The 26,363-nt window shown below is 40.5% G+C and overlaps 2 annotated features.

Moving 5' to 3' along the window:
- Nucleotides 10,560–11,759: an enhancer, noted in NCBI's record as "P300/CBP strongly-dependent group 1 enhancer chr3:19906013-19907212 (GRCh37/hg19 assembly coordinates)". NCBI's record gives its function as "activates an origin of replication core promoter dependent on BRD2, BRD4, P300/CBP, MED14 and CDK7 cofactors, with strong dependence on P300/CBP, by STARR-seq in HCT116 cells {active_cell/tissue: HCT116}" and the evidence as "EXISTENCE:reporter gene assay evidence [ECO:0000049][PMID:35650434]".
- Nucleotides 20,424–21,011: an enhancer, noted in NCBI's record as "NANOG-H3K27ac-H3K4me1 hESC enhancer chr3:19896761-19897348 (GRCh37/hg19 assembly coordinates)". NCBI's record gives its function as "activates a minimal SCP1, AML or CMV promoter by ChIP-STARR-seq in naive H9 embryonic stem cells {active_cell/tissue: H9 hESC(naive)}" and the evidence as "EXISTENCE:reporter gene assay evidence [ECO:0000049][PMID:30033119]".

Genomic DNA, 26,363 nt, shown 5'->3' with positions numbered 1-26,363 from the left:
ACCCACGGCTTCTAATAGAGCTATAACACTCACCGCATGGCCCAAGATTCCATTCGTTGGAATCTGTGAGGCCAAGAACCCCAGGTCAGAGAATACGAGGCTTGCCACCATCTTGGAAGCAGCTCGCCACCATCTTGGGAGCTCTGTGAGCAAGGACCCCGGTAACATTTTGGTGACCACGAAGGGACATCCAAAGTGGTGAGTAATATTGGACCACTTTCGCTTGCTATTCTGTTCTATCCTTCCTTAGAACTGGAGGAAAATACCGGGCACTTGTCGGCCAGTTAAAAACAATTAGAGTGGCCACCGGACTTAAGACTCAGGTGTGAGGCTATCTGTGGAAGGGCTTTCTAACAACCCCCAACCCTTCTACTGGGGACGTTGGTCTGCCCGGAGCCAGCTTCCACTTTCAATTTTCTTGGGGAAGCCGAGGGCCAACTAGAGGCAGAAAGCTGTTGTCCCGAACTCCCGGCAGTAGCCGGTTGAGATCATGGCACAGCCAGAAGTCTCTACTCAGCAGTGCGCCCCTACCTTTCCTTCTGAACCATGCCTCCTGGGTCCTGACTGGGACTTTCTTGAAAGTGTAGCCCCAAAATTCTCCTTACCTCTGAATCTACTTCCTCTGATCCCTGCCTCCTAGGTACTAATGGTTCAGACTTTCATTTCCTCTAGCAAGTTGTATCTCCAAAGGGATCTAAGGAGGCGCTACGCTGCGTCCTTAGGCACCTAGGCTATAACCCAGGGAGTCTTATCCCTGGTATCCCTTCCAATTTAGGTACACAGCTCTCTACATGGGCAGTTACGTGGGACCCGTTCCCCACCACCCTTGCCAGGGCCCCAAGTTTGTAAGGCTGAGAGAGAGAGACGGAGAGAGAGAGAGAGAGATGGAGAGAGAGAGAGACAGAGAGACAAAGAGGGAGTCAAAGAGAAAAAGAAAGAAAAACAGAAATAGTAAAAAAAAAAAAAAAAAAAAGTGTGCCCTATTCCTTTAAAAGCCAGGGTAAATTTAAAACCTGTAATTGATAATTGCAGATAATTGAGTGCAGAAGCGCGATCTGTTGTTGTCAGTGTAAATAAGGGCGTAGCAAGTCCTTAGCCCAGTAACCTGCGGATGGGCCAAATGCATTCAGTCGGTAGCGCAACTGCTTTGCTAAAACTAGAAAAGTAACTGTTAGAGGAAACCTCGTTGTGAGCACACCTCATAGCCAAAAAAACCAAAAAGGTAGCTTACTAACTCAAAAATCTTAAAGTATGGGGCTATTATGTTAGAAAAGGGTAATGTAACTCCAACCACTGATAATTCCCTTAACCCAGCAGATTTCCTAACAAAGGATTTAAATCTTAATTACCACACAAAGGTCCGACCAGACCTAGGAGGAACTCCCTTCAGGACAGGACAGTAGATGGTTCCTCCCAGATGATTGAGGAAAAAACCACAATGGGTATTCAGTAATTGATAGGAGACTCTTGTGGAAGCAGAGTTAAAAAATTGCCTAATAATTGGTCTCCTCAAATGTGTGAGCTGTTTGCACTCAGCCAAGCCTTAAAGTACTTACAGAATCAAAAGACTATCTCAATCCTGACTCAAAAGGTTAGCTACACCCTCTCTGAAATGAATTTGCATAAGAACTGTTGTTTATGGGAGTGCATCTTGATGGGGCAGCTGGGTTGTTATGAAATACTCAGGAACCCAGCCCAGCTCTAGGACTCACCCCTGAGTGCAAAGGCAATGTTGGGCATGCTGGTAAAGGACCACTAGAATCCAGCAGCCCAGACCGCTTTCCTTGTGGTCAAGAAAGGCAGGAAAACAGATGCAGGAGTGCTACATCGGTGAGCGTAACTAATCCGATAAGCAGAGGTCCATGGGTGGTTACGCACCCTGGAAAGGAACTCACCTCTGAGCACAAAGGCAATGTTGGGCACGCTGGTAAAGGACCACTAGAATCCAGCAGCCCAGGCCCCTTTCTTTGTGGTCAAGAAAGGCGGGAAAAGGAGTGCAGGACTGCTACATTGGTGAGCGTAACTAATCCGATAAGCAGAGGTCCATGGGTGGTTATGCACCCTGGAAAGGAATAAGCATTAGGACCATAGAGGAAGCTCTAGGACTAATGCTCATCAGAAAATGACTAGGGGTGCTGGCATCCCTATGTTCTTTTTCCAGATGGGAAACATTCCCCCCAAGGCAAAAATGCCCCTAAGATGTATTCTGGAGAATTAGGACCAATTTGATCCTCAGACTCCAAGAAAGAAACGACTTATATTCTTCTGCAGTACTGCCTGGCCACAATATCCTCTTCAAGGGGGAGAAACCTGGCCTCCTGAGAGAAGTATAAATTATAACACCATCTTACAGTTAGACCTCTTTTGTAGAAAAGAAGGCAAATGGAGTGAAATGCCATATGTGCAAACTTTCTTTTCATTAAGAGACAACTCGCAATTACGGTGTATGCCCTACAGGAAGCCCTCAGAGTCTACCTCCCTATCCCAGCATCCCCCCGACTCCTTCCCCAACTAATAAGGACCCCCCTTCAACCCAAACGGTCCAAAAGGAGATAGACAAATGGGTAAACAATGAACTAAAGAGTGCCAGTATTCCCCGATTATGCCCCTTCCAAGCAGTGGGAGGAGGAGAAATTGGCCCAGCCAGAGTGCATGTACCTTTTTCTCTCTCAGACTTAAAGCAAATTAAAATAGACCTAGGTAAATTCTCAGATAACCCTGATGGCTATATTGATGTTTTACAAGGGCTAGGGCAATCCTTTAATCTGACATGGAGAGATATAATGTTACTGCTAGATCAGACGCTAACCCCAAATGAAAGAAGTGCCGTCATAACTGCAGCCCGAGAGTTTGGCGATCTCTGGTATCTCAGTCAGGTCAATGATAGGATGACAACAGAGGAAAGAGAACGATTCCCCACAGGCCAGCAGGCAGTTCCCAGTGTAGACCCTCATTAGGACACAGAATCAGAACATGGAGATTGGTGCCACTGACATTTGCTAACTTGAGTGCTAAAAGGACTAAAGAAAACTAGGAAGAAGCCTATGAATTATTCAGTGATGTCCACTATAACACAAGGAAAGGAAGAAAATCCTACTGCCTTTCTGGAGAGACTAGGGGAGGCATTAAGGAAGCATACCTCCCTGTCACCTGACTCTATTGAAGGTCAACTAATCTTAAAGGATAAGTTTATCACTCAGTTAGCTGCAGACATTAGAAAAAAACTTCAAAAGTCTGCCTTAGGCCTGGAGCAAAACTTAGAAACCCTATTGAACTTGGCAACCTCGGTTTTTTATAATAGAGATCAGGAGGAGCAGGCAGAATGGGACAAACGGGATTAAAAAAAAAAAAGGCCACCGCTTTAGTCATGACCCTCAGGCAAGCAGCTTTGGAGACTCTGGAAAAGGGAAAAGCTGGGGAAATCGAATGCCTAATAGGGCTTGATTCCAGTGTAGTCTTCAAGGACACTTTAAAAAAGATTGTCCAAGTAGAAATAAGCCACCCCCTCGTCCATACCCCTTATGTCAAGGGAATCACTGGAAGGCCCATTGCCCAAGAGGATGAAGGTCCTCTGAGTCAGAAGCCACTTACCAGATGATCCAGCAGCAGGACTGAGGGTGCCGGGGCAAGCGCCAGCCCATGCCATCACCCTCACAGAGCCCCGGGTATGCTTGACCATTGAGGGCCAGGAGGTTAACTATCTCCTGGACACTGGTCTGGCCTTCTCAGTCTTACTCTCCTGTCCCGGACAACTGTCCTCCAGATCTGTCACTATCTGAGTGGTCCTAGGACAGCCAGTCACTAGATACTTCTCCCAGCCACTAAGTTGTGACTGGGGAACTTTACTCTTCTCACATGCTTTTCTAATTATGCCTGAAAGCCCCACTCCCTTGTTAGGGAGAGACATTCCAGCAAAAGCAGGGGCCATTATACATCTGAACATAGGAGAAGGAACACCCATTTGTTGTTCCCTGCTTGAGGAAGGAATTAATCCTGAAGTCTGGGCAATAGAAGGACAATATGGATGAGCAAAGAATACCTGTCCTGTTCTAGTTAAACTAAAGCATTCTGCCTCCTTTCCCTACCAAAGGCAGTACCCCCTTGACCCAAGGCCCAACAAGGACTCCAAAACATGGTTAAGGACCTAAAAGCCCAAGGCCTAGTAAAACCATGCAATAGCCACTGCAATACTCCAATTTTAGGAGTACAGAAACACAACGGATAGTAGAGATTAGTGCAAGATCTCAGGATTATCAATGAGGCTGTTTTTCTTCTATACCCAGCTGTACCTAGCCCTTATACTCTGCTTTCGCAAATACCAGAGGAAGCAGAGTGGTTTACAGTCCTGGACCTTAAGGATGCCTTTTTCTGCATCCCTGTACATCCTGACTCTCAATTCTTGTTTGCCTTTAAAGATCCTTCGAACCCAACGTCTCAACTCACCTGGACAGTTTTACCCCAAGGGTTCAAGGATAGCCCCCATCTGCATTTCTATCACTTGTTTCAGGCTTTAAGCACAGCCTCTCATTCTATTTTTTTTAAGCATGCACACAATCTGCTGGGATTTTTATTGTGATTGCATTGAATCTAAAGATCAGTTTGGGGAATTTTACTTTTTTTTTTTAAAACAATGTTTTGACTTCCAAACACTAAATATGGTACATGTATACATTTATTTAGCTTTTCTTTATTGCTTTTTAGTTTTCAATGTTGAGATATTGTACCTCTTGCATTAGATTTATTCCTAGGTATGTTTTTGATGTGATACATTTAAAAATTGTGTATCGATTTTTAAATAGGGTTATTGAGGTATCATCTATACACAGTAAAAAGCACCCTTTTTAGTGTGCAATCCTAAGAGTGTTGACAAATGCATATAGGTTGTGTAACTACCATCACAAACAAAATGAAGAACTGTTCCATCACTCTCTAAAATTCTCTTGTGCCTTTTTGTAGTAAATCTCTTCTTCCCCATCCCAGCCCATCATAACCACTGATCTGTTTTCTGTTCCTATTGTTTTGCCTTAAAAAGAAGCTCATATAAATGGAACCATGGAGTGTGTAACCTTTTGAGACTGGCTTCTTTCACTCAGTACACGTTTTCAAGATCCATCATGTTATTGCATGGATTAGTAATACATTCTTTTTATTGCTGAGTAGTATTCCACTGCATAGATATGCTACAATTTGTTCATCTACTTACCATGTAAAGATGTTTGGGTTGTTTCCAGTTTTGGGGAATTCTAAATAAAGCAGCTATAAACTCTCATATATATGTTTTGTATTACCATAACTTTTCATTTCTCTTGAAAAAATACCTATCAGGTGGGATTGCTGGGCTATATGTTAACTTTATAAGAAATCAAAAGATGGTTTTCCGAAACAGCTGCATCACTTTGCATTTTCACCAGCAATTCATGAGTATTCCAGTACATCCTTGCCAGAATGTGGTATTGTCACATATTGTTAGTTAAAAAAATGTTTTAAGCATTCTATAGGTATGCAATAATAGCACATAGTAGTTTTAATGTGCATTTCGGTAATGACTAATGATGTTGAATGTCTTTTCATAAGCTTGTTGGCCATGCATGTGTCTTCTTTGGTAAAGTTTCTGTCTTAGTATTTTGCCATTTTTAAAACTGGCTTATCTTCCTATTACTGAGTTTTGAGAGATATTTCTGTATTCTGGATACAAGTCATTTGTCAGATATGTGTTTTGCAGATATTTTCTCCTGTCTTTAGCTTGGATTTTTATTTTCTTAACAGTGTCTTTCAAAGAATAGAAGTTTTAAATTTTGATGAAGCCCAATTTTTCATTATTTTCATTAATGGATCATGCTTTTGGTGTCTTCTCTATGAAAGATTAGCTTACTTCAAAATCTCATAGATTTTTTTTGTGAATGTTGAGTTATTTTAGCACTATTTTTTGAAACAGTTATTCTTACATTGAATTAATTGCCTTTGTACCTAGGCCATAAATCAATTGGCTATATTTGTATGAGTCTATTTATAGACTCACTATTTTGTTCTATTGATTTATGTGTTTACACTTTCACCAATACCACACTGTCTTCATTACTATAGCTTTAGAATATGTCTTAGAATCAGTGTGAATGCTCTTTGTTCTTTATTTGGAATTATTTTGGTTGTTCTAGTTACTTTGCTTTTCTTTTATTAGTTTTAGAATCAGTTTATTTATGGCCAGGTGTGGTAGCTCACGCCTGTAATCCCAGCACTTTGGGAGGCTGAGGCAGGCAGATCACGAGGTCAGGAGATAGAGACCATCCTGGCTAACACGGTGAAACCCCGTCTCTACTAAAAAATACAAAAAATTAGCCGGGCGTGATGGTGGGCACCCGTAGTCCCAGCTACTCGGGAGGGTGAGGCAGGAGAATGGTGTGAACCCGGGACGCGGAGCTTGCAGTGAGCTGTGATCGCGCCACTGCACCCCAGCCTGGGCGACAGAGCAAGACTCCGTCTCAAAAAAAAAAAAAAAAAAAAAAAAAAAGAATCAGCTTATTTATTTGCATAAAAATCTTTCCTGGATTTTTATTGGGATTGTGCCACATTTATAGATCACTTTTGGGAGAACTGCCTTCCACCGTACCTATTCAATTTCTGGAACATCTGTAATCTGTCACTACCTCTCCATTCACAGGCATTCTCCTTGTTTGACAGTGCTTCACCTATGCTTTGATGATTTTTTCTACTTATAGTCCATTCTATTCCAGCCTTTACAATCTTGCCACTACTATACCTTAAAACTTTCAACAGTTTTCCCATTTTTTAGAAAAATGTACATTCTTAGCCTAGCATCATAAGGCCCTACAGTGTTTTCCTCTAATGCTTCTTTTTGACCTCATTTCATATCACTCCCTTTCATCTATTCTTTGCTTCAGCAAGAACTGAACTATATGACGTTTCTGTGACTGCTATCCACTATACTCATATCTTCCCCTGGAAATACTTCCATCCTCCTTTCCCCACTTTCTACATGCCTACATTCTACATCTTTTTTAAGGAATAGTTCAAAGTTTACTATTGTTACAAAATTTCCCGGAATCATTCTCTGGCTACAAAGAATCTGTCTTTCCTTTGAACTTGCTTAGTTCTCTGTGCCTTTGTGAGACAACAATTACTTTGTATTTTGTCTGATAATTAGCTATATACTTGCCTCTTCTATTTAATTTATAGTATACGTTTTCTGAGGACATAATCCAAATTGACAAATTTCTAGATACACATTACCTGGCATGGAGTAGTGCTCCATAAATCTTTGGGGAACTAATGAAAAAGATATACAGACTAAACAGGGACAACAGTATGCAATCACTCACAGAATATTGGAAGAATAAAGATTGGCCCATCAATGCCAAGTCCCAATTTAAGCCATCTATCACCTATGTAAAACTTAGATGAGAAGGTTAAGCCCTGCTCTTTCATTTGCACTGGAATCTGGGATTGGTTCTGCACTCTTAATATTTTTGGGGTCATTAATTCAACAGACGTTTATGGAGCACTTACTCAAGTGAAGAGGTATTTTAAGAAGGAGGGAGAAATCAACTGACAATGCTATTTGGAGGTAAAGGTGAAGCCTGAGAATTGACCATGAAGTTTGACAATTGGATGTTACTGGCAACCTTGACAGGAGCTCTTTTGATGCCAGTAGTGGAGTCGCAGTTTCATGAAAATGGGTTCACAAAAGTTTAGGAGGTAAGTAGTGTGTATGATGGAGAACTCTTTAACAAACTCTGCTATGAAGAGGGCAGAGAGGGCCGGGTGTGGTGGCTCATGTCTGTAATCCCAGCACTTTGGGAGGCTGAGGCGGGAGGATTGCTGGAGCCCAGGAGTTTGAGACAAGCCTGGCCAACATGGCAAAACCCCATCTGTACTAAAAATACAAAAATTAGCCAGGTGTGGTGATGCTCACCTGTAGTCCCACTTACTGGGGGGGCTGAGGCATGAGAATCGCTTGAACCTGGAAGGCGGAGGTTTGCAGTGAGCCTAGAGTGTGCCACTGCACTCCAGCCTGGGCAACAGAGTAAGACACTGTTTTTTTTTTTTTAAAGAGGGCAGAGAAAAGATGCTTTTTAAACATATGAGATTTTATAGCACAATTCGTGTTGATAGGAATTGTATAGTTGAGGAGAATAAAGGAGTAAGAGGAAATAATTACAGGAGCAAATTCTTGAGTTGGGAAAGGGGTTGGGATACAGTGTAGAAGTGGAGAGGTTTCTTTGGAACAGCTGTCAGTTGTATAAGAGGACAACAGGATGGCAAGTTGTATATATAAAAAAGGGTTATCAGCTGAGAGTAAGAAAGGAGGAGGGTGTGTTGAGGGCTGGACGAAAGGTGAGGAAGGAGAACTGATTTAGAGAGTGAGGCAGTGACTTGACTAGAAAACATAGTAGGACTGCAAGCCCTCTTGAATTTTTTAATTATAAATTTAAAATGAGATTGGTCACTTGGTTTTGTGTTTTTCTTCAGTCAGTTTTTTTCTTATGCAACTACTAGACTTTGGATCTGGAATAAATGGAGATTTATATTTGACTAGGGCTGGAATTTTACCTGCGGAATAAAATGGTGGGAGGGAGGCACAAAGTTGAATTTATGCAAGGAAATAGTTCTAGTGACGTGACATGGAGACTAAGATCTGTCAGGAAGAAGTTCAGAAATGAGATGGTACTGAAAAAATGGCAGGGATAATGAACTGGGCCATTCCTATGGGTCAAAAGTTGTAGAGGAATACTATAAAAAATAAGCTAGAAAAATAAGTGTTGGTGATCAGAGTGGAATGCCTGCAAATGAGATTCTGCAGGTGGTAGAGATGTTGGTAATAAAATTTAGGGTGTGATAATGGGCCTGAGTGACTAAAGTAGGTGGAGAACAGGTTCATTAAAAAAGGGAGTTCAAGAAGTGAGAAGTCTGATGTTAAGTAGATGAATCACCTACAGGGACACTGATACCACCAAGAAAGATGACAGGGAAGGTAGTGGAGAGAGAGTGACCCAGGTTATGTATACCTTTGAAATAATGATGATAGCTATACACACTATTATTTTAGAAAAATGCATATACGTGTATACTTTTGACCATGTGATATTCAGTCACCCTATCTCCCACAGATCTCTAGACCAGATGAATACTCAAGTAGCTTCTAACTTCAAAATTTCAAATTTATCCTCAGGTAGATTTACTACCTGCCTCTGTCTCCCATCCATCCATCCATCCAGCCATCCATCGGTGTGACTAATTGCTTATCTGTGCTTTGGTTAAATACCCTTTTTGGGAGAATATTGTTCTTTGAATGGCGTGGCTAAGAAACGTGATTTCCCATTTTAACGGTAGGGGGCACCCTAGCATTTCCAAACTTAGCGATGAACCTTAGCCAACTGTGTGGAATAGCAGCAGCTGAAAAGAGAATGTTAAGCTGGAGGAAGAAGTCTACCACAACGCTTTGCAAAATCCAGGATGATCTATGCACTTTCTTTTTTAAAATTATTATTTGGTGGCAGAAATTAGGCTGAAAAGGCACATTTTAAATAGTACTAGCAACCTAGAGAGGAGATTTGCTTGGATCATAAAGTGTCATCTGTTAGAGAAAGAAGTAAAACAATGTGAAATACTCAGATGAGATATAAATAAATATTCAAATATATCACCATGTTCTCACCTAAACTATGTTTCCATAGTGTTCAGGATAGTCTCGTTAATAGTAGAATATATTGAACCTATAAAAAGTTTTAAAGACTACTGTTTCCTAGCTCAGGCAAATAAACTTAATACATTTTGTTCACAGCATGGTTAACCAAGGAACTTGTTGGAAATATTATATGGGCCAATAAAGGGTAATTTTATTTTATGTAGTAACCACTTATGAAAGCTCACCATGGCTTGACGTGAAGAGCTGGGCTAGTTAGAGGTTAACACCCCAATCATAAACCAACAATGAGGATAGACTTGAAAGGCATTTCTTCTATTATAAAACATTTACAGTAATAACCTCGCAAAAAATAATGGGATCTATTTAAAGCTCATTTATTTCCCAGCTAAGTGGCAATTTCCCATCACTCAGAATGCTAATACTTCCTCCTGAAACCCTAGGGATAATCCAATTCATGTGTGTTCATTAAAAAAACCTGGTTAAAATAAGCAGGTGATTCTGTTTTAATAATATCTGTCCTGCCAGCAATAAGACAGTCTCAGTTGCAAATAAATATATCAACAAACAGATTTTCTTTAAAGCACATGGGGTCTCATATCATTCCCGAATTAGCCAATTAGCATGATGCTATTGGAAGAGCTAATTAAAAAGTGCATTTAGACTAAGAAATGTTTCCTGAGAGTAATCTGGAGCTTATAGCTCTTATTCCATCTGTAATTACTCTGCCAGATTTTCTACTCTGTAAATAGAGGTGAACACACCTTCACCTGAGCAGAGGGAAAGTCTTTTTCATTCTCTTGGAGTAAATTATATATATTAATACCTTGAAGTGATTAACATACGCTTATCTTTTTAAAAAGGCACTCCCCATGCCTAGTCTCTCAGTTGTTAGGTGGTGGTTAACTAGTAATTTAGACAGACTAAGAATGCTCTTTTGTCCAGAGATCCAGCCTGTAGTTTGCCCTGTTAGAAATATTTTCATGATTAGAATTTTTGGTCAGCGGTAAATTAATCATCTTCTGCAGTAAATATACCTATCTGAATTACTGAGATTTACAGATAGACTAGCACATCCATTAATGAAAAAGAGTAACAAAAACTAAAAAAAGATTTACAGATATAAAAATTTTGCTAGGAGGAAGTGTGAATTGGGGACAATAGGGAATGAATAAATTTATATTTGATATCCTCTAAGTTAGTGTGTTTTAAATTTTAATGTGCATATAAATCACCTGTAGATCTTGTTAAAATGCAGATTCCGATTCAGTATGTCCAGGGTGGAGCCTGAGATTACGCATTTCCAAAGCTTCCAGGTGATATGATGCAGCTGCTCTGGGATCTCACTTTGAGCGAGAAGGCTTTGAGCTTTGTGACATTTATGTGACTAAGCTCACAATTATTCACACTTGTGATGGTTAATAGTGAGTGTCAACTTGATTGGATTGAAGGATACAAAGTATTGATCCTGGGTGTGTCTGTAAAAGTGTTGCCAAAAGAGATTAACATTTGAGTCAGTGGGCTGGGAAAGGCAGATCCACCCTTAATCTGGTCGGCACAATCAAATCAGCTGCCAGCAAATGTAAAGCAGGAGGAAAAATGTGAAAAGGAGAGACGGGCCTAGCCTCCCAGCCTACATCTTTCTCCCATGCTGGATGTTTCCTGAGCTTGAACATCTGACTCCAAGTTCTTCAGTTTTGGGACTTGGACTGGCTCTCCTTGCTCCTCAGCTTGCAGACAGCTTGTTGTGGGACCTTGTGATCATGTAAGCTAATACTTAATAAACTCCTGTCTGTCTATCTATCTATCTATCTATCTATCTATCTATCTATCTATCTATCTATTCTATTAGTTCTGTCCCTCTAAGAGAACCCTGACTAATACAGATATTGGTACCAGTAGAGTGGGGCATTGCTGAAAAGATACCCAAAAATGTGGAAGTGACTTTGGAAGTGGGTAACAGGCAGTTGTTGGAACAGTTTGGAGGGCTCAGGCTCAGAAGAAGATAGGAAAATGTGGGAAACTGTGGAACTTCCTAGAGACTTGTTGAATGGCTTTGCCCAAAATGCTGATAGCAATATGGACAATAAGGTTCAGGCTGAGGTGGTCTCAGATGGAAATAAGGAAATTGTTGGGAACTGGAGCAAAGGTGATTCTTGTTGTTTTAGCAAAGAGATTGGCGGCATTTTGCCCCTGCCCTAGAGATTTGTGGAACTTTGAACTTGAGAAAGATGATTTAGGATATCTGGTGGAAGAAATTTCTAAGCAGCAAAGCATTCAAGAGGTGACTTGGGTGTGTTAAAGGCATTAGTTTTAATAAGGAAATAAGTGCATAAAAACCCAGAAAATTTGCAGCCTGCCTATGTGATAGAAAAGAAAATCCCATTTTCTGGGGAGAAATTCAAGCTGGCTGCAGAAATTTGCATAAGTAGCAGGGATCCTAATTTATTATTATTATTATTATTATTATACTTTACGTTCTAGGGTACATGTGCACAACGTGCAGGTTAGTTACATACGTATACATGTGCCATGTTGGTGTGCTGCACCCATTAACTCGTCATTTAACATTAGGTATATCTCCTAATGCTATCCTTCCCCCCTTCCCCCACCGCACAACAGGCCCCGGTGTGTGATGTTCCCCTTCCGGTGTCCATGTGTTCTCATTGTTCAATTCCCACCTATGAGTGAGAACATGTGGTGTTTGGTTTTTTGTCCTTGCGCTAGTTTGCTGAGAATGATGGTTTCCAGCTTCATCCATGTCCCTACAAAGGACATGAATTCATCCGTTTTTATGGCTGAATAGTAGTCCATGGTGTGTATGTGCCACATTTTCTTAATCCAGTCTATCATTGATGGACATTTGGGTTGGTTCCAAGTGTTTGCTATTGTGAATAGTGCTGCAATAAACATACGTGTGCATGTGTCTTTATAGCAGCATGATTTATAATCCTTTGGGTATATGCCCAGTAATGGATGCCTGAGTCAAATGGTATTTCTAGTTCTAGATCCCTGAGGAATTGCCACACTGTCTTCCACAATGGTTGAACTAGTTTACAGTCCCACCAACAGTGTAAAAGCGTTTCTATTTCAAGGAGCCTAATGTTAATCCCCAAGACCATAGAGAAAATGTTTCCAGGCATGTCAGAGACCTTCACGACAGCCCCTCCCATCACGGGCCTGGCTGCCTGGAAGAAAAGTGGTTTTGTGAGCTGGGCCCAAGGTCCCTGTGCTGTGTGCAGCCTAGGGACTTGGTGCCCTGTGTCCCAGCTGCTCCAGCCATGACCGGGAGGGGCCAACATACAGCCTAGGCTGTGGCTTCAGAGGGTGGAAGCCCCAAGCTGTGGCAGCTTCCATGTGGTGTTGAGCCTGCGGGTGCACAGAAGTCAAGAATTGAGGTTTGGGAACCTCCACCTAGATTTCAGAATATTCATGGAAACGCATGGATGCCCAGGCAAAAGTTTGCTGCAGGGGCGGGGCCCTCATGGAGAACCTCTGCTAGGGCAGTGCAGAAGGGAATTGTGGGGTTGGAGTCCCCACACAGAGTCCCTACTGGGCACTGCCTAGTGGAGCTGTGAGAAGAGGGTCACCATTCTCCAGACCCCAGAATGGTAGATCTACTGACGGCTTGCACTGTGCACCTGGAAAAGCCGCAGACACTCAATGCCAGCCTGTGAAAGCAGCCGGGAGGGAGGGGCTGTACCCTGCAAAGCCACAGGGGCAGAGCTGCCCAAAACCATGAGAACCCACCTCTTGAATTAGCATGACCTGGATGTGAGACATGGAGTCAAAGGAGATCATTTTGGAGCTCTAAAATTTGACTACCCTGCTGGATTTCAGACTTGCATGGGCCCTGTAACTCCTTTGTTTTGCCCAATTTCTCCCATTTGGAACAGTTGTATTTATCCAATACCAGTACCCCCATTGTATCTAGGAGGAAGTAACTAGCTTGCTTTTGATTTTACAGACTCACAGGTGGAAGGAACTTGCCTTGTCTCAGATGAGACTTTGGACTGTGGACTTTTGAGTTAATGCTGAAATGAGTTAAGACTTTGGGGGACTGTTGGGAAGGCATGATTGGTTTTGAATTGTGAGGACATGAGATTTGGGGGGGCCTGGGGCAGAATGATATGGCTTGGCTGTGTCCCCACCCAAATTTCAGCTTGAATTGTATCTCCCAAAATTCCCACGTGTTGTGCGAGGGACCTAGGGGGAGGTCATTTAATCATGCGGGCCAGTCTTTTCCGTGTTATTCTCATGACAGTGAATACGTCCCACGAGATCTGATGGGTTTATCAGGGGTTTCTGCTTTTGCTTCTTTCTCATTTTTCTCTTGCTACTGCAGTGTTAGAAGTGCCTTTTGTCTCCTGCCATGATTCTGAGGACTCCCCAGCGATGTGGAACTATAAGTCCAATTAAACCTCTTTTTCTTCCCAGTCTCGGGTACGTCTATCAGCAGCATGAAAATGGACTAATACAATACTCATAGTTCATATAGATGTTTTTCTATTTACACTCCAGGTGTGTGCACATGTGTTCTCTCCTACTCTCTCTCTCGGTAATATTCACTTTGTTTTAAAAAATAAACTTTTAACTTTAGAACAGCTTTAGGTTTACAGAAAATAGTGCCCTACACCCAGTTTCCCCAATTACTAACTTCTTACTTTAGTAAAGTACATTGGTTACAATTAATAAACCAATATTGAAATATTATTATTAACTAAACTCTATACTTTATTTACATTTCCTTCTTTTTTTGTTTTTAAAATTTTATTTAAATAAAAAATGGATGACCTTTATAGAGTGATCGATTGATTTGTTAACTCAATGGGTGCACCACTTTATCAGATTCAGGACAGTAATTGGGGTTAGGGGAGAAAAATCTAATGGAGAAGGCAGTCAATCCTGAGAACGAGTGGTTGGGAGGAGTCAGAGGAAAAAAATTCAGCGGGGGAAAAGTACATAAAGTTAAGGCTGGAGATGACACAACATAATACTACTATCTACCCTATTTGTCCTAGTTCATTTGTCTCCCATTACCTCAGAAGCAACAACACCTTTACCATGTACTTAAAATTCCTTTCCCAACCAATCCCCCTAATCCACTCTCTGGAGGATCTTGTATCCTACATGATGATGAAAATGGAAATCATCAAATGGAAACATCTTCAAATCCTGGGATCCGCCCTACAAATTTATCTGCTCTAGGGCAACCCTTGCTCCCTCCTTTATGTCACAGAGGAAGTTTCTCCTTTCCTATGTGGGGAAGGAGATAGGGAAGCTGTGTTCTAAATCAATCCACTCTCGCCTCTTCAGAAATCTTGTCACTTTAGGAAAAGACTTCATGACCAAGAACTCAAAAGCAAATGGGTTATCTCTGAATTGTATATTTTAAATTTAGGTTAAAAATTTTTTTTATTTCAATAGTTTTTGGGAAACAGGTGGTTTTTGGTTACATGGATAAATTCTCTAGTGGTGATTTTTGAGATTTTGGTGTACCCATCACCAAAGCAGTGTATCTGTCACCCGATGTGTAGTCTTTTTTTTTTTTTTTATTATACTTTAAGTTTCAGGGTACATGTGCACATCGTGCAGGTTAGTTACATATGTATACATGTGCCATGCTGGTGCGCTGCACCCACTAACTCGTCATCTAGCATTAGGTATATCTCCCAATGCTAACCCTTCCCACTCCCCGCAACCCACAACAGTCCCCAGAGTGTGATGTTCCCCTTCCTGTGTCCATGTGTTCTCATTGTTCAATTCCCACCTATGAGTGAGAATATGCGGTGTTTGGTTTTTTGTTCTTGCGATAGTTTACTGAGAATGATGGTTTCCAATTTCATCCATGTCCCTACAAAGGACATGAACTCATCATTTTTTATGGCTGCATAGTATTCCATGGTATATATGTACCACATTTTCTTCATCCAGTCTATCATTGTTGGACATTTGGGTTGGTTCCAAGTCTTTGCTATTGTGAATAATGCCGCAATAAACATACGTGTGCATGTGTCTTTATAGCAGCATGATTTATAGTCCTTTGGGTATATACCCAGTAATGGGATGGCTGGGTCAAATGGTATTTCTAGTTCTAGATCCCTGAGGAATCGCCACACTGACTTCCACAATGGTTGAACTAGTTTACAGTCCCACCAACAGTGTAAAAGTGTTCCTGTTTCTCCGCATCCTCTCCAGCACCTGTTGTTTCCTGACTTTTTAATGATTGCCATTCTAACTGGTGTGAGATGGTATCTCATAGTGGTTTTGATTTGCATTTCTCTGACGGCCAGTGATGATGAGCATTTTTTCATGTGTTTTTTGGCTGCATAAATGTCTTCTTTTGAGAAGTGTCTGTTCATGTCCTTCGCCCACTTTTTGATGGGGTTGTTTGTTTTTTTCTTGTAAATTTGTTTGAGTTCATTGTAGATTCTGGATATTAGCCCTTTGTCAGATGAGTAGGTTGTGAAAATTTTCTCCCATTTTGTGGGTTGCCTGTTCACTCTGATGGTAGTTTCTTTTGCTGTGCAGAAGCTCTTTAGTTTAATTAGATCCCATTTGTCAATTTTGGCTTTTGTTGCCATTGCTTTTGGTGTTTTAGTTGTGAAGTCCTTGCCCATGCCTATGTCCTGAATGGTAATGCCTAGGTTTTCTTCTAGGGTTTTTATGGTTTTAGGTCTAATGTTTAAGTCTTTAATCCATCTTGAATTAATTTTTGTATAAGATGTAAGGAAGGGATCCAGTTTCAGCTTTCTCCATATGGCTAGCCAGTTTTCCCAGCACCATTTATTAAACAGGGAATCCTTTCCCCATTTCTTGTTTTTCTCAGGTTTGTCAAAGATCAGATAGTTGTAGTATGTGGCGTTATTTCTGAGGGCTCTGTTCTGTTCCATTGATCACTATCTGTTTTGGTGCCAGTACCATGCTGTTTTGGTTACTGTAGCCTTGTAGTATAGTTTGAAGTCAGGTAGCGTGATGCCTCCAGCTTTGTTCTTTTGGCTTAAGATTGACTTGGTGATGCGGGCTCTTTTTTGGTTCCAGATGAACTTTAAAGTAGTTTTTTCCAATTCTGTGAAGAAAGTCATTGGTAGCTTGATGGGGATGGCATTGAATCTATAAATTACCTTGGGCAGTATGGCCATTTTCACGATATTGATTCTTCCTACCCATGAGCATGGAATGTTCTTCCATTTGTTTGTACCCTCTTTTATTTTATTGAGCAGTGGTTTGTAGTTCTCCTTGAAGAGGTCCTTCACGTCTCTTGTAAGGTGGATTCCTAGGTATTTTCTTCTCTTTGAAGCAATTGTGAATGGGAGTTCACTCATGATTTGGCTCTCTGTTTGTGTGTTATTGGTGTATAAGAATGCTTGTGATTTTTGTACATTGATTTTGTATCCTGAGACTTTGCTGAAGTTGCTTATCAGCTTAAGGAGATTTTGGGCTGAGACAATGGGGTTTTCTAGATATACAATCATGTCATCTGCAAACAGGGACAATTTGACTTCCTCTTTTCCTAATTGAATACCCTTTATTTCCTTCTCCTGCCTAATTGCCCTGGCCAGAACTTCCAACACTATGTTGAATAGGAGTGGTGAGAGAGGACATCCCTGTCTTGTTCCAGTTTTCAAAGGGAATGCTTCCAGTTTTTGCCCATTCAGTATGATATTGGCTGTGGGTTTGTCAGAGATAGCTCTTAGTATTTTGAGATATGTCCCATCAATACCTAAGTTATTGAGAGTTTTTAGCATTAAGAGTTGTTGAATTTTGTCAAAGGCCTTTTCTGCATCTATTGAGATAATCATGTAGTTTTTGTCTTTGGTTCTGTTTATATGCTGGATTACATTTATTGATTTGCGTATATTGAACCAGCCTTGCATCCCAGGGATGAAGCCCACTTGATCGTGGTGGATAAGCTTTTTGATGTGCTGCTGGATTCGGTTTGCCAGTATTTTATTGAGGATTTTTGCATCAATGTTCATCAAGGATATTGGTCTAAAATTCTCTTTTTTGGTTGTGTCTCTGCCTGGCTTTGGTATCAGGATGATGCTGGCCTCATCAAATGAGTTAGGGAGGATTCCTTCTTTTTCTATTGATTGGAATAGTTTCAGAAGGAATGGTACCAGTTCCTCCTTGTACCTCTGGTAGAATTCGGCTGTGAATCCATCTGGTCCTGGACTCTTTTTGGTTGGTAAACTATTGATTATTGCCACAATTTCAGCTCCTGTTATTGGTCTATTCAGAGATGCAACTTCTTCCTGGTTTAGTCTTGGGAGAGTGTATGTGTCAAGGAATTTATCCATTTCTTCTAGATTTTCCAGTTTATTTGCGTAGAGGTGTTTGTAGTATTCTCTGATGGTAGTTTGTATTTCTGTGGGATCGGTGGTGATATCCCCTTTATCATTTTTTATTGTGTCTATTTGATTCTTCTCTCTTTTTTTCTTTATTAGTCTTGCTAGCGGTCTATCAATTTTGTTGATCCTTTCAAAAAACCAGCTCCTGGATTCCTTGATTTTTTGAAGGGTTTTTTGTGTCTCTATTTCCTTCAGTTCTGCTCTGATTTTAGTTATTTCTTGCCTTCTGCTAGCTTTTGAATGTGTTTGCTCTTGCTTTTCTAGTTCTTTTAATTGTGATGTTAGGGTGTCAATTTTGGATCTTTCCTGCTTTCTCTTGTGGGCATTTAGTGCTATAAATTTCCCTCTACACACTGCTTTGAATGTGTCCCAGAGATTCTGGTATGTCATGTCTTTGTTCTCGTTGGTTTCAAAGAACATCTTTATTTCTGCCTTCATTTCGTTATGTACCCAGTAGTCATTCAGGAGCAGGTTGTTCAGTTTCCATGTAGTTGAGCGGCTTTGAGTGAGATTCTTAATCCTGACTTCTAGTTTGATTGCACTGTGGTCTGAGAGATAGTTTGTTATAATTTCTGTTCTTTTACATTTGCTGAGGAGAGCTTTACTTCCAAGTATGTGGTCAATTTTGGAATAGGTGTGGTGTGGTGCTCAAAAAAATGTATATTCTGTTGATTTGGGGTGGAGAGTTCTGTAGATGTCTATTAGGTCCACTTGGTCCAGAGCTGAGTTCAATTCCTGGGTATCCTTGTTGACTTTCTGTCTTGTTGATCTGTCTAATGTTGACAGTGGGGTGTTAAAGTCTCCCATTATTAATATGTGGGAGTCTAAGTCTCTTTGTAGGTCACTCAGGACTTGCTTTATGAATCTGGGTGCTCCTGTATTGGGTGCATATATATTTAGGATAGTTAGCTCTTCTTGTTGAATTGATCCCTTTACCATTATGTAATGGCCTTCTTTGTCTCTTTTGATCTTTGTTGGTTTAAAGTCTGTTTTATCAGAGACTAGGATTGCAACCCCTGCCTTTTTTTGTTTTCCATTTGCTTGGTAGATCTTCCTCCATCCTTTTATTTTGAGCCTATGTGTGTCTCTGCACGTGAGATGGGTTCCCTGAATACAGCACACTGATGGGTCTTGACTCTTTATCCAATTTGCCAGTCTGTGTCTTTTAATAGGAGAATTTAGTCCATTTACATTTAAAGTTAATATTGTTATGTGTGAATTTGATCCTGTCATTATGATGTTAGCTGGTGATTTTGCTCGTCAGTTGACGCAGTTTCTTCCTAGTCTCGATGGTCTTTACATTTTGGCATGATTTTGCAGCAGCTGGTACCGGTTGTTCCTTTCCATGTTTAGCGCTTCCTTCAGGAGCTCTTTTAGGGCAGGCCTGGTGGTGACAAAATCTCTCAGCATTAGCTTGTCTGTAAAGTATTTTATTTCTCCTTCACTTATGAAGCTTAGTTTGGCTGGATATGAAATTCTGGGTTGAAAATTCTTTTCTTTAAGAATGATGAATATTGGCCCCCACTCTCTTCTGGCTTGTAGGGTTTCTGCCGAGAGATCCGCTGTTAGTCTGATGGGCTTCCCTTTGAGGGTAACCCGACCTTTCTCTCTGGCTGCCCTTAACATTTTTTCCTTCATTTCAACTTTGGTGAGTCTGACAATTATGTGTGTTGGAGTTGCTCTTCTCGAGGAGTATCTTTGTGGCGTTCTCTGTATTTCCTGTATCTGAACGTTGGCCTGCCTTGCTAGATTGGGGAAGTTCTCCTGGATAATATCCTGCAGAGTGTTTTCCAACTTGGTTCCATTCTCCCCATCACTTTCAGGTACACCAATCAGACGTAGATTTGGTCTTTTCACATAGTCCCATATTTCTTGGAGGCTTTGCTCATTTGTTTTTATTCTTTTTTCTCTAAACTTCCCTTCTCGCTTCATTTCATTCATTTCATCTTCCATTGCTGATACCCTTTCTTCCAGTTGATTGCATTGGCTCCTGAGGCTTCTGCATTCTTCACGTAGTTCTCGAGCCTTGGTTTTCAGCTCCATCAGCTCCTTTAAGCACTTCTCTGTATTGGTTATTCTAGTTATACATTCTTCTAAATTTTTTTCAAAGTTTTCAACTTCTTTGCCTTTGGTTTGAATGTCCTCCCGTAGCTCAGAGTAATTTGATCATCTGAAGCCTTCTTCTCTCAGCTCGTCAAAGTCATTCTCCATCCAGCTTTGTTCCGTTGCTGGTGAGGAACTGCGTTCCTTTGGAGGAGGAGAGGCACTCTGCGTTTTAGAGTTTCCAGTTTTTCTGTTCTGTTTTTTCCCCATCTTTGTGGTTTTATCTACTTTTGGTCTTTGATGATGGTGATGTACAGATGGGTTTTTGGTGTGGATGTCCTTTCTGTTTGTTAGTTTTCCTTCTAACAGACAGGACCCTCAGCTGCAGGTCTGTTGGAGTACCAGGCTGTGTGAGGTGTCAGTGTGCCCCTGCTGGGGGGTGCCTCCCAGTTAGGCTGCTGGGGGGTCAGGGGTGAGGGACCCACTTGAGGAGGCAGTCTGCCCGTTCTCAGATCTCCAGCTGTGTGCTGGGAGAACCACTGCTCTCTTCAAAGCTGTCAGACAGCGACATTTAAGTCTGCAGAGGTTACTGCTGTCTTTTTGTTTGTCTGTGCCCTGCCCCCAGAGGTGGAGCCTACAATGGCAGGCAGGCCTCCTTGAACTGTGGTGGGCTCCACCCAGTTGGAGCTTCCAGGCTGCTTTGTTTACCTAATCAAGCCTGGGCAATGGCGGGCGCCCCTCCCCCAGCCTAGCTGCCGACTTGCAGTTTGATCTCAGACTGCTGTGCTAGCAATCAGGGAGATTCCGTGGGCGTAGGACCCTCCGAGCCAGGTGTGGGATATAGTCTCGTGGTGCGCCGTTTTTTAAGCCCGTCTGAAAAGTGCAATATTCGGGTGGGAGTGACCCGATTTTCCAGGTGCGTCCGTCACCCCTTTCTTTGACTTGGAAAGGGAACTCCCTGACCCCTTGCGCTTCCCAGGTGAGGCAATGCCTCGCCCTGCTTCGGCTCGCGCACGGTGCGCGCACCCACTGGCCTGCGCCCACTGTGTGGCACTCCCTAGTGAGATGAACCTGGTACCTCAGATGGAAATGCAGAAATCACCCGTCTTCTGCGTCGCTCATGCCTGGAGCTGTAGACCGGAGCTGTTCCTATTCAACCATCTTGGCTCCTCCCCCGATGTGTAGTCTTTTATCCACCACTCCCACTCTTCCATCCAAGTCCCCCAACTCCATTATATAATTCTTAAGCCTTTGCATCCTCACAGCTTAGCTCCCACTTATATGTGAGAACATACGATGTTTGCTTTTCCATTTCTGAGTTACTTCACTTATAATAAGGGTCTCCAACTTAATCCAGGTTGCTGCAAATGCCATTAGTTTGTTTCTTTTTATGGCTGAGTAGTATTCCATGTTGTATGTATATCACATTTTCTTCATTCACTTGTTGGTTGCTGGGCATTTAGGTTGGTTTCATATTTTTGCTATTGTGAATTGTGCTGCTATACATATGCATGTGCAAGTGTCTTTTTTCATATAATGATTCTTTTTCTTTTTTTTCTTATTTTCACTATTTATAAATATAACCTTTTTTATTATTATACTTTAAGTTCTAGGGTACATGTGCACAATGTGCAGGTTTGTTACATATGTATACATGCGTCATGTTGGTGTGCTGCACCCATTAACTCGTCATTTACATTAGGTATATCTCCTAATGCTATCCCTCCCCCCCTTCCCAAACCCCATGACAGGCCCCGGTGTGTAATGTTCCCCTTCCTGTGTCCAAGTGTTCTCATTGTTCAATTCCCACCTATGAGTGAGAACATGTGGTGTTTGGTTTTTTGTCCTTGCAATAGTTTGCTGAGAATGATGGTTTCCAGCTTCATCCATGTCCCTCCAAAGGACATGAACTCATCCTTTTTTATGGCTGCATAGTATTCCATGGTGTATATGTGCCACATTTTCTTAATCCAGTCTATCATTGGTGGACATTTGAGTTGGTTCCAAGTGTTTACTATTGTGAATAGTGCTGCAGTAAACATACATGTGCGTGTGTCTTTATAGCAGCATGATTTATAATCCTTTGGGTATATACCCAGTAATGGGATGGCTGGGTCAAATGGTATTTCTAGTTCTAGATCCTTGAGGAATCACCACACTGTCTTCCACAATGGTTGAACTAGTTTACAGTCCCACCAACAGTGTAAAAGTGTTCCTTTTTCTCCACATCCCCTCCAGCACCTGTTGTTTCCTGACTTTTTAATGATCGCCATTCTAACTGGTGTGAGATGGTATGTCATTGTGGTTTTGATTTGCATTTCTCAGATGGCCAGTGATGATGAGCATTTTTTCATATGTCTGTTGGCTGCATAAGTATCTTCTTTTGAGAAGTTTCTGTTCATATTCTTCACCCACTTTTTGATGGGGTTGTTTGTTTTTTTCTTGTAAATTTGTTTGAGTTCATTGTAGATTCTGGGTTTTAGCCCTTTGCCAGATGAGTAGATTGCAAAAATTTCCTCCCATTCTGTAGGTTGCCTTTTCACTCTGATGGTAGTTTCTTTTGCTGTGCAGAAGCTCTTTAGTTTAAACAGATCCCATTTGTCAATTTTGGCTTTTGCTGCCATTGCTTTTGGTGTTTTAGACATGAAGTCCTTGCACATGCCTATGTCCTGAATGGTATTGCCTAGGTTTTCTTCTAGGGTTTTTGTGGTTTTAGGTCTAACATTTAAGTCTTTAATCCATCTTGAATTAATTTTTGTATAAGATGTAAGGAAGGGATCCAATTTCAGCTTTCTCCATATGGCTAGCCAGTTTTCCCAGCACCATTTATTAAATAGGGAATCCTTTCCCCATTGCTTGTTTTTCTCAGGTTTGTCAAAGATCAGATGGTTGTAGATGTGTGGTATTATTTCTGAGGGCTCTGTTCTGTTCCATTGATCTATATCTCTGTGTTGGTACCACTACCATGCTATTTTGGTTACTATAGCCTTGTAGTATAGTTTGAAGTCAGGTAGCGTGATGCCTCCAGCTTTGTTCTTTTACCTTAGGATTGTCTTCGCAAGGCGGGCCCATTTCTCATTCCATATGGAATTTAAAGTAGTTTTTTCCAATTCTGTGAAGAAAGTCATTGGTAGCTTGATGGGGATGGCATTGAATCTATAAGTTACCTTGGGCAGTATGGCCATTTTCATGATATTGATTCTTTCTATCTTTGGTTGGATACCCAGTAGTGGGATTGCTGAATCAAATGGTAGTTCTCCTTTTAGTTCTTTAAGGAATCTCTACACCGTTTTCCGTAGTGGTTGTACTAGTTTATATTCCCACCCACAGTGTAAAAGTGTTCCCTTTCCACCACATTCATGTCAACATCTATTATTTTTTGATTTTTTAATTATGGCCATTCTTGAAGGAGTAAGGTCATATCTCATGGTGGTTTTAATTTGCATTTCCCTGATAGTGATGTTGAACATTTTTTCATGTTTGTTGGCCATTTGTATGTCTTCTTTTGAGAATTGTCTATTCATGTCTTTTGCCCACTTTTTGTAGGGTTGTTTTTTCCTTTCTAATTTGTTTGAATTTTTTGTAGATTCTGGATGTTAGTCTTTTGTCAGACACATTGTTTGTGAATATTTTCTCCCACTCTGTGGGTAGTCTGTTTACTCTGCTGCTTATTTCTTTTGCTGTGCAGAAGCTTTTTAGTTTAATTAAGTCTCATCTATTTATCTTTTTTTGTTGCATTTGCTTTTGGGTTCTTGGTCCTGAAGCCTTTGCCTAAGCCAATGTCTAGAAGAGTTTTTCCAATGTTATCTTGTAGAATTTTTATGGTTTCAGGTCATAGATTTAAGTCTTTGATCCATCTCGTGTTAATTTTTGTGTAAGATGAGAGATGAGTATCAGTTTCCTTCTTCTACATGTGGCTTGCCAAATATCCCAGCACATTTGTTGAATAGGGTGTCCTTTCCCCACTTCATATTTCTGCTTGCTTTGTTGATGATTAGTTGGCTATAATATTTGGCTTTATTTCTGGGTTCTCTATTCTGTTCCATTTGTCTGTGTGCCTATCTATTTTTATACCAGCACCATGCTCTTTTGGTGACTATAGCCTTGCAGTATAGTTTGATGTCAGGTAATGTGATGCCTCCAGATTTGTTCTTTTTGCTTAGTCTTGCTTTGGCTATGCAGGCTCGTTTTTGTTTCCATATGAATTTTAGGATTACTTTTTCTAGATCTGTGGAGAATGATAATGATATTTTGTAGATTACTTTTGGTAGTATGGTCATTTTCACAATATTAATTCTAACCATCCATGAATATGGGATGTGTTTCCATTTGTTTAAAAAACCCATCTACGATTTCTTTCAGCAGTGTTTGTAGTTTTCCTTGCAGAGGTCTTTCACCTCCTAGGTTAGGTATATTCCTAAGTATTTTATTTTTTTTGCAGCTACTGTTAAAGGGGATAAGTTCCTGATTTGATTCTCAGCTTGGTTGCTGTTGATGTATAGCAGTGCTACTGATTACATCAATTTTGTATTCTGAAACTTTACTGAATTTATTAATCAGATCTAGGAGCTTTTTGGATGAGTCTTTAGAGTTTTCTAGGTATACAATCATATCATTGGCAAACAGCAGCAGTTTGACTTCCTCTTTACTGGTGTGGATGCCCTTTATTTTTTTCTCTTGTCTGATTGTTCTGGCTAGGACTTCCATTACTATGTTGAATAGAAGTGGTGAAAGTTGGCATTCTTCTTTTATTCCATTTCTCAGGGAGAATGCTTTCAACTTTTCCCATTGAGCATAATGTTGGCTGTGGATTTGCCATAGATGGCTTTTATTACATTAGGGTATGCCCCTTCTCTGCTGATTTTGCTGAGGGTTTTAATCATAAAGCGATGCTGGATTTTGTCAACTGCTTTTTCTGCATCTGTTGGGATGATCATATAATTTTTATTTTTAATTCTGTTTATGTGATGTGTCACATTTATTGACTTGAGTATGTTAAACCATCCTTGCATCCCTGGTATAAAACACACTTGATCATGGTGAATTATCTTTTTGAAATGCTGTTGGATTTGTTTAGCTAGTATTTTGTTAAGGATTTTTTGCATTTAAGTTCATCAAGGATATTGGTCTGTAGTTTTTTTTTGTTTGTTTTGTTTTTTTGTTGTTGTTGTTACATCCCTTCCTGGTCTTGGTATTAGGATAATATGGGTTTATATAATGATTTAGGGAGGATTCTCCCTCTATTTTTTGGAATAGTTTCAGTAGTACCACCTCTTCCTTGATTGTCTGATTGAATTCAGCTGTGAATCCATCTGGCCCTGGACTTTCTTTTGTTGGCAGTTTTTTTTTTTTTTTTTCAATCTCATTGCTTGTTATTGGTCTGTTGAGAGTTTCTATTTCTTCCTGGCTTAATTTAGGAGGTTTGTACATTTCCAGGAATTTATCCATCACCTCTAGGTTTTCTAGTTTGTGTGCATAAAGGTATTCATAGTAGCTTTGAATGATCTTTTGTGTTTCTGTGGTATCAGTTGTAGTACCTCCAGTTTCATTTCTAATAAAGTTTATTTGGCTCTTCTCTCTTCTTTTCTTGGTTAATGTTGCTAATGATCTATCAGTTTTATTTATCTTTTCAAGGAAGTAGCTTTTCATTTCTTTTATCTCTTGTATTGTTTGTTTTGTTTCAATTTTATTTATTTCTGCTTTGATGTTTATTTTCTTCTGCTGTGTTTGGGTTTGGTTTGTCCTTGTTTCTCTAGTTCCCTGAGGTGTGACCTTAGCTTGTCTATTTGTGCTCTTTCAGACTTTTTGATGTAGGCATTTAATGCTATGAACTTTCCTCTTAGCGCTGCTTTTGCTGTATTGCAGAGGTTTTGATAGATTGTGTCACTATCATCGTTCAGTTCAAAGAATTTTTAAATTTTCATCTTGATTTCATTGCTGACCCAAACATCATTCATGAACAGATCATTTAATTTCCATGTATTTTCCTGATTTTGAGGGTTCCTTTTGAAGTTGATTTCCAATTTTATTCCACTGTGGTCTGAGGGAGTACTTGATATAATTTTGATTTTCTTAAATTTATTAAGGTTTGTTCTGTGGCCTATGATATCATGTATCTTGGAGAATATTCCATGTGCTGATGAATAGAAGATACATTCTGCAGTTGTTGGGTAAAATGTTCTGTAAATATCTGTTAAGTCCATTTTTTCTAGGGTATAGTTTAAGTCCATTTGTTCTTTGTTCACTTTCTGTCTTTATGAACTGTCTAGTGCTGTCAGTGGAGCATTGAAGTCCCTCCACTATTATTG

Source organism: Homo sapiens, chromosome 3, assembly GCF_000001405.40.
Source record: "Homo sapiens chromosome 3, GRCh38.p14 Primary Assembly".
NCBI lineage: Eukaryota > Metazoa > Chordata > Mammalia > Primates > Hominidae > Homo > Homo sapiens.
The sequence above is the reverse complement of the archived record's forward strand: the minus strand, read 5'-3'. Positions and strand labels throughout refer to the sequence as shown.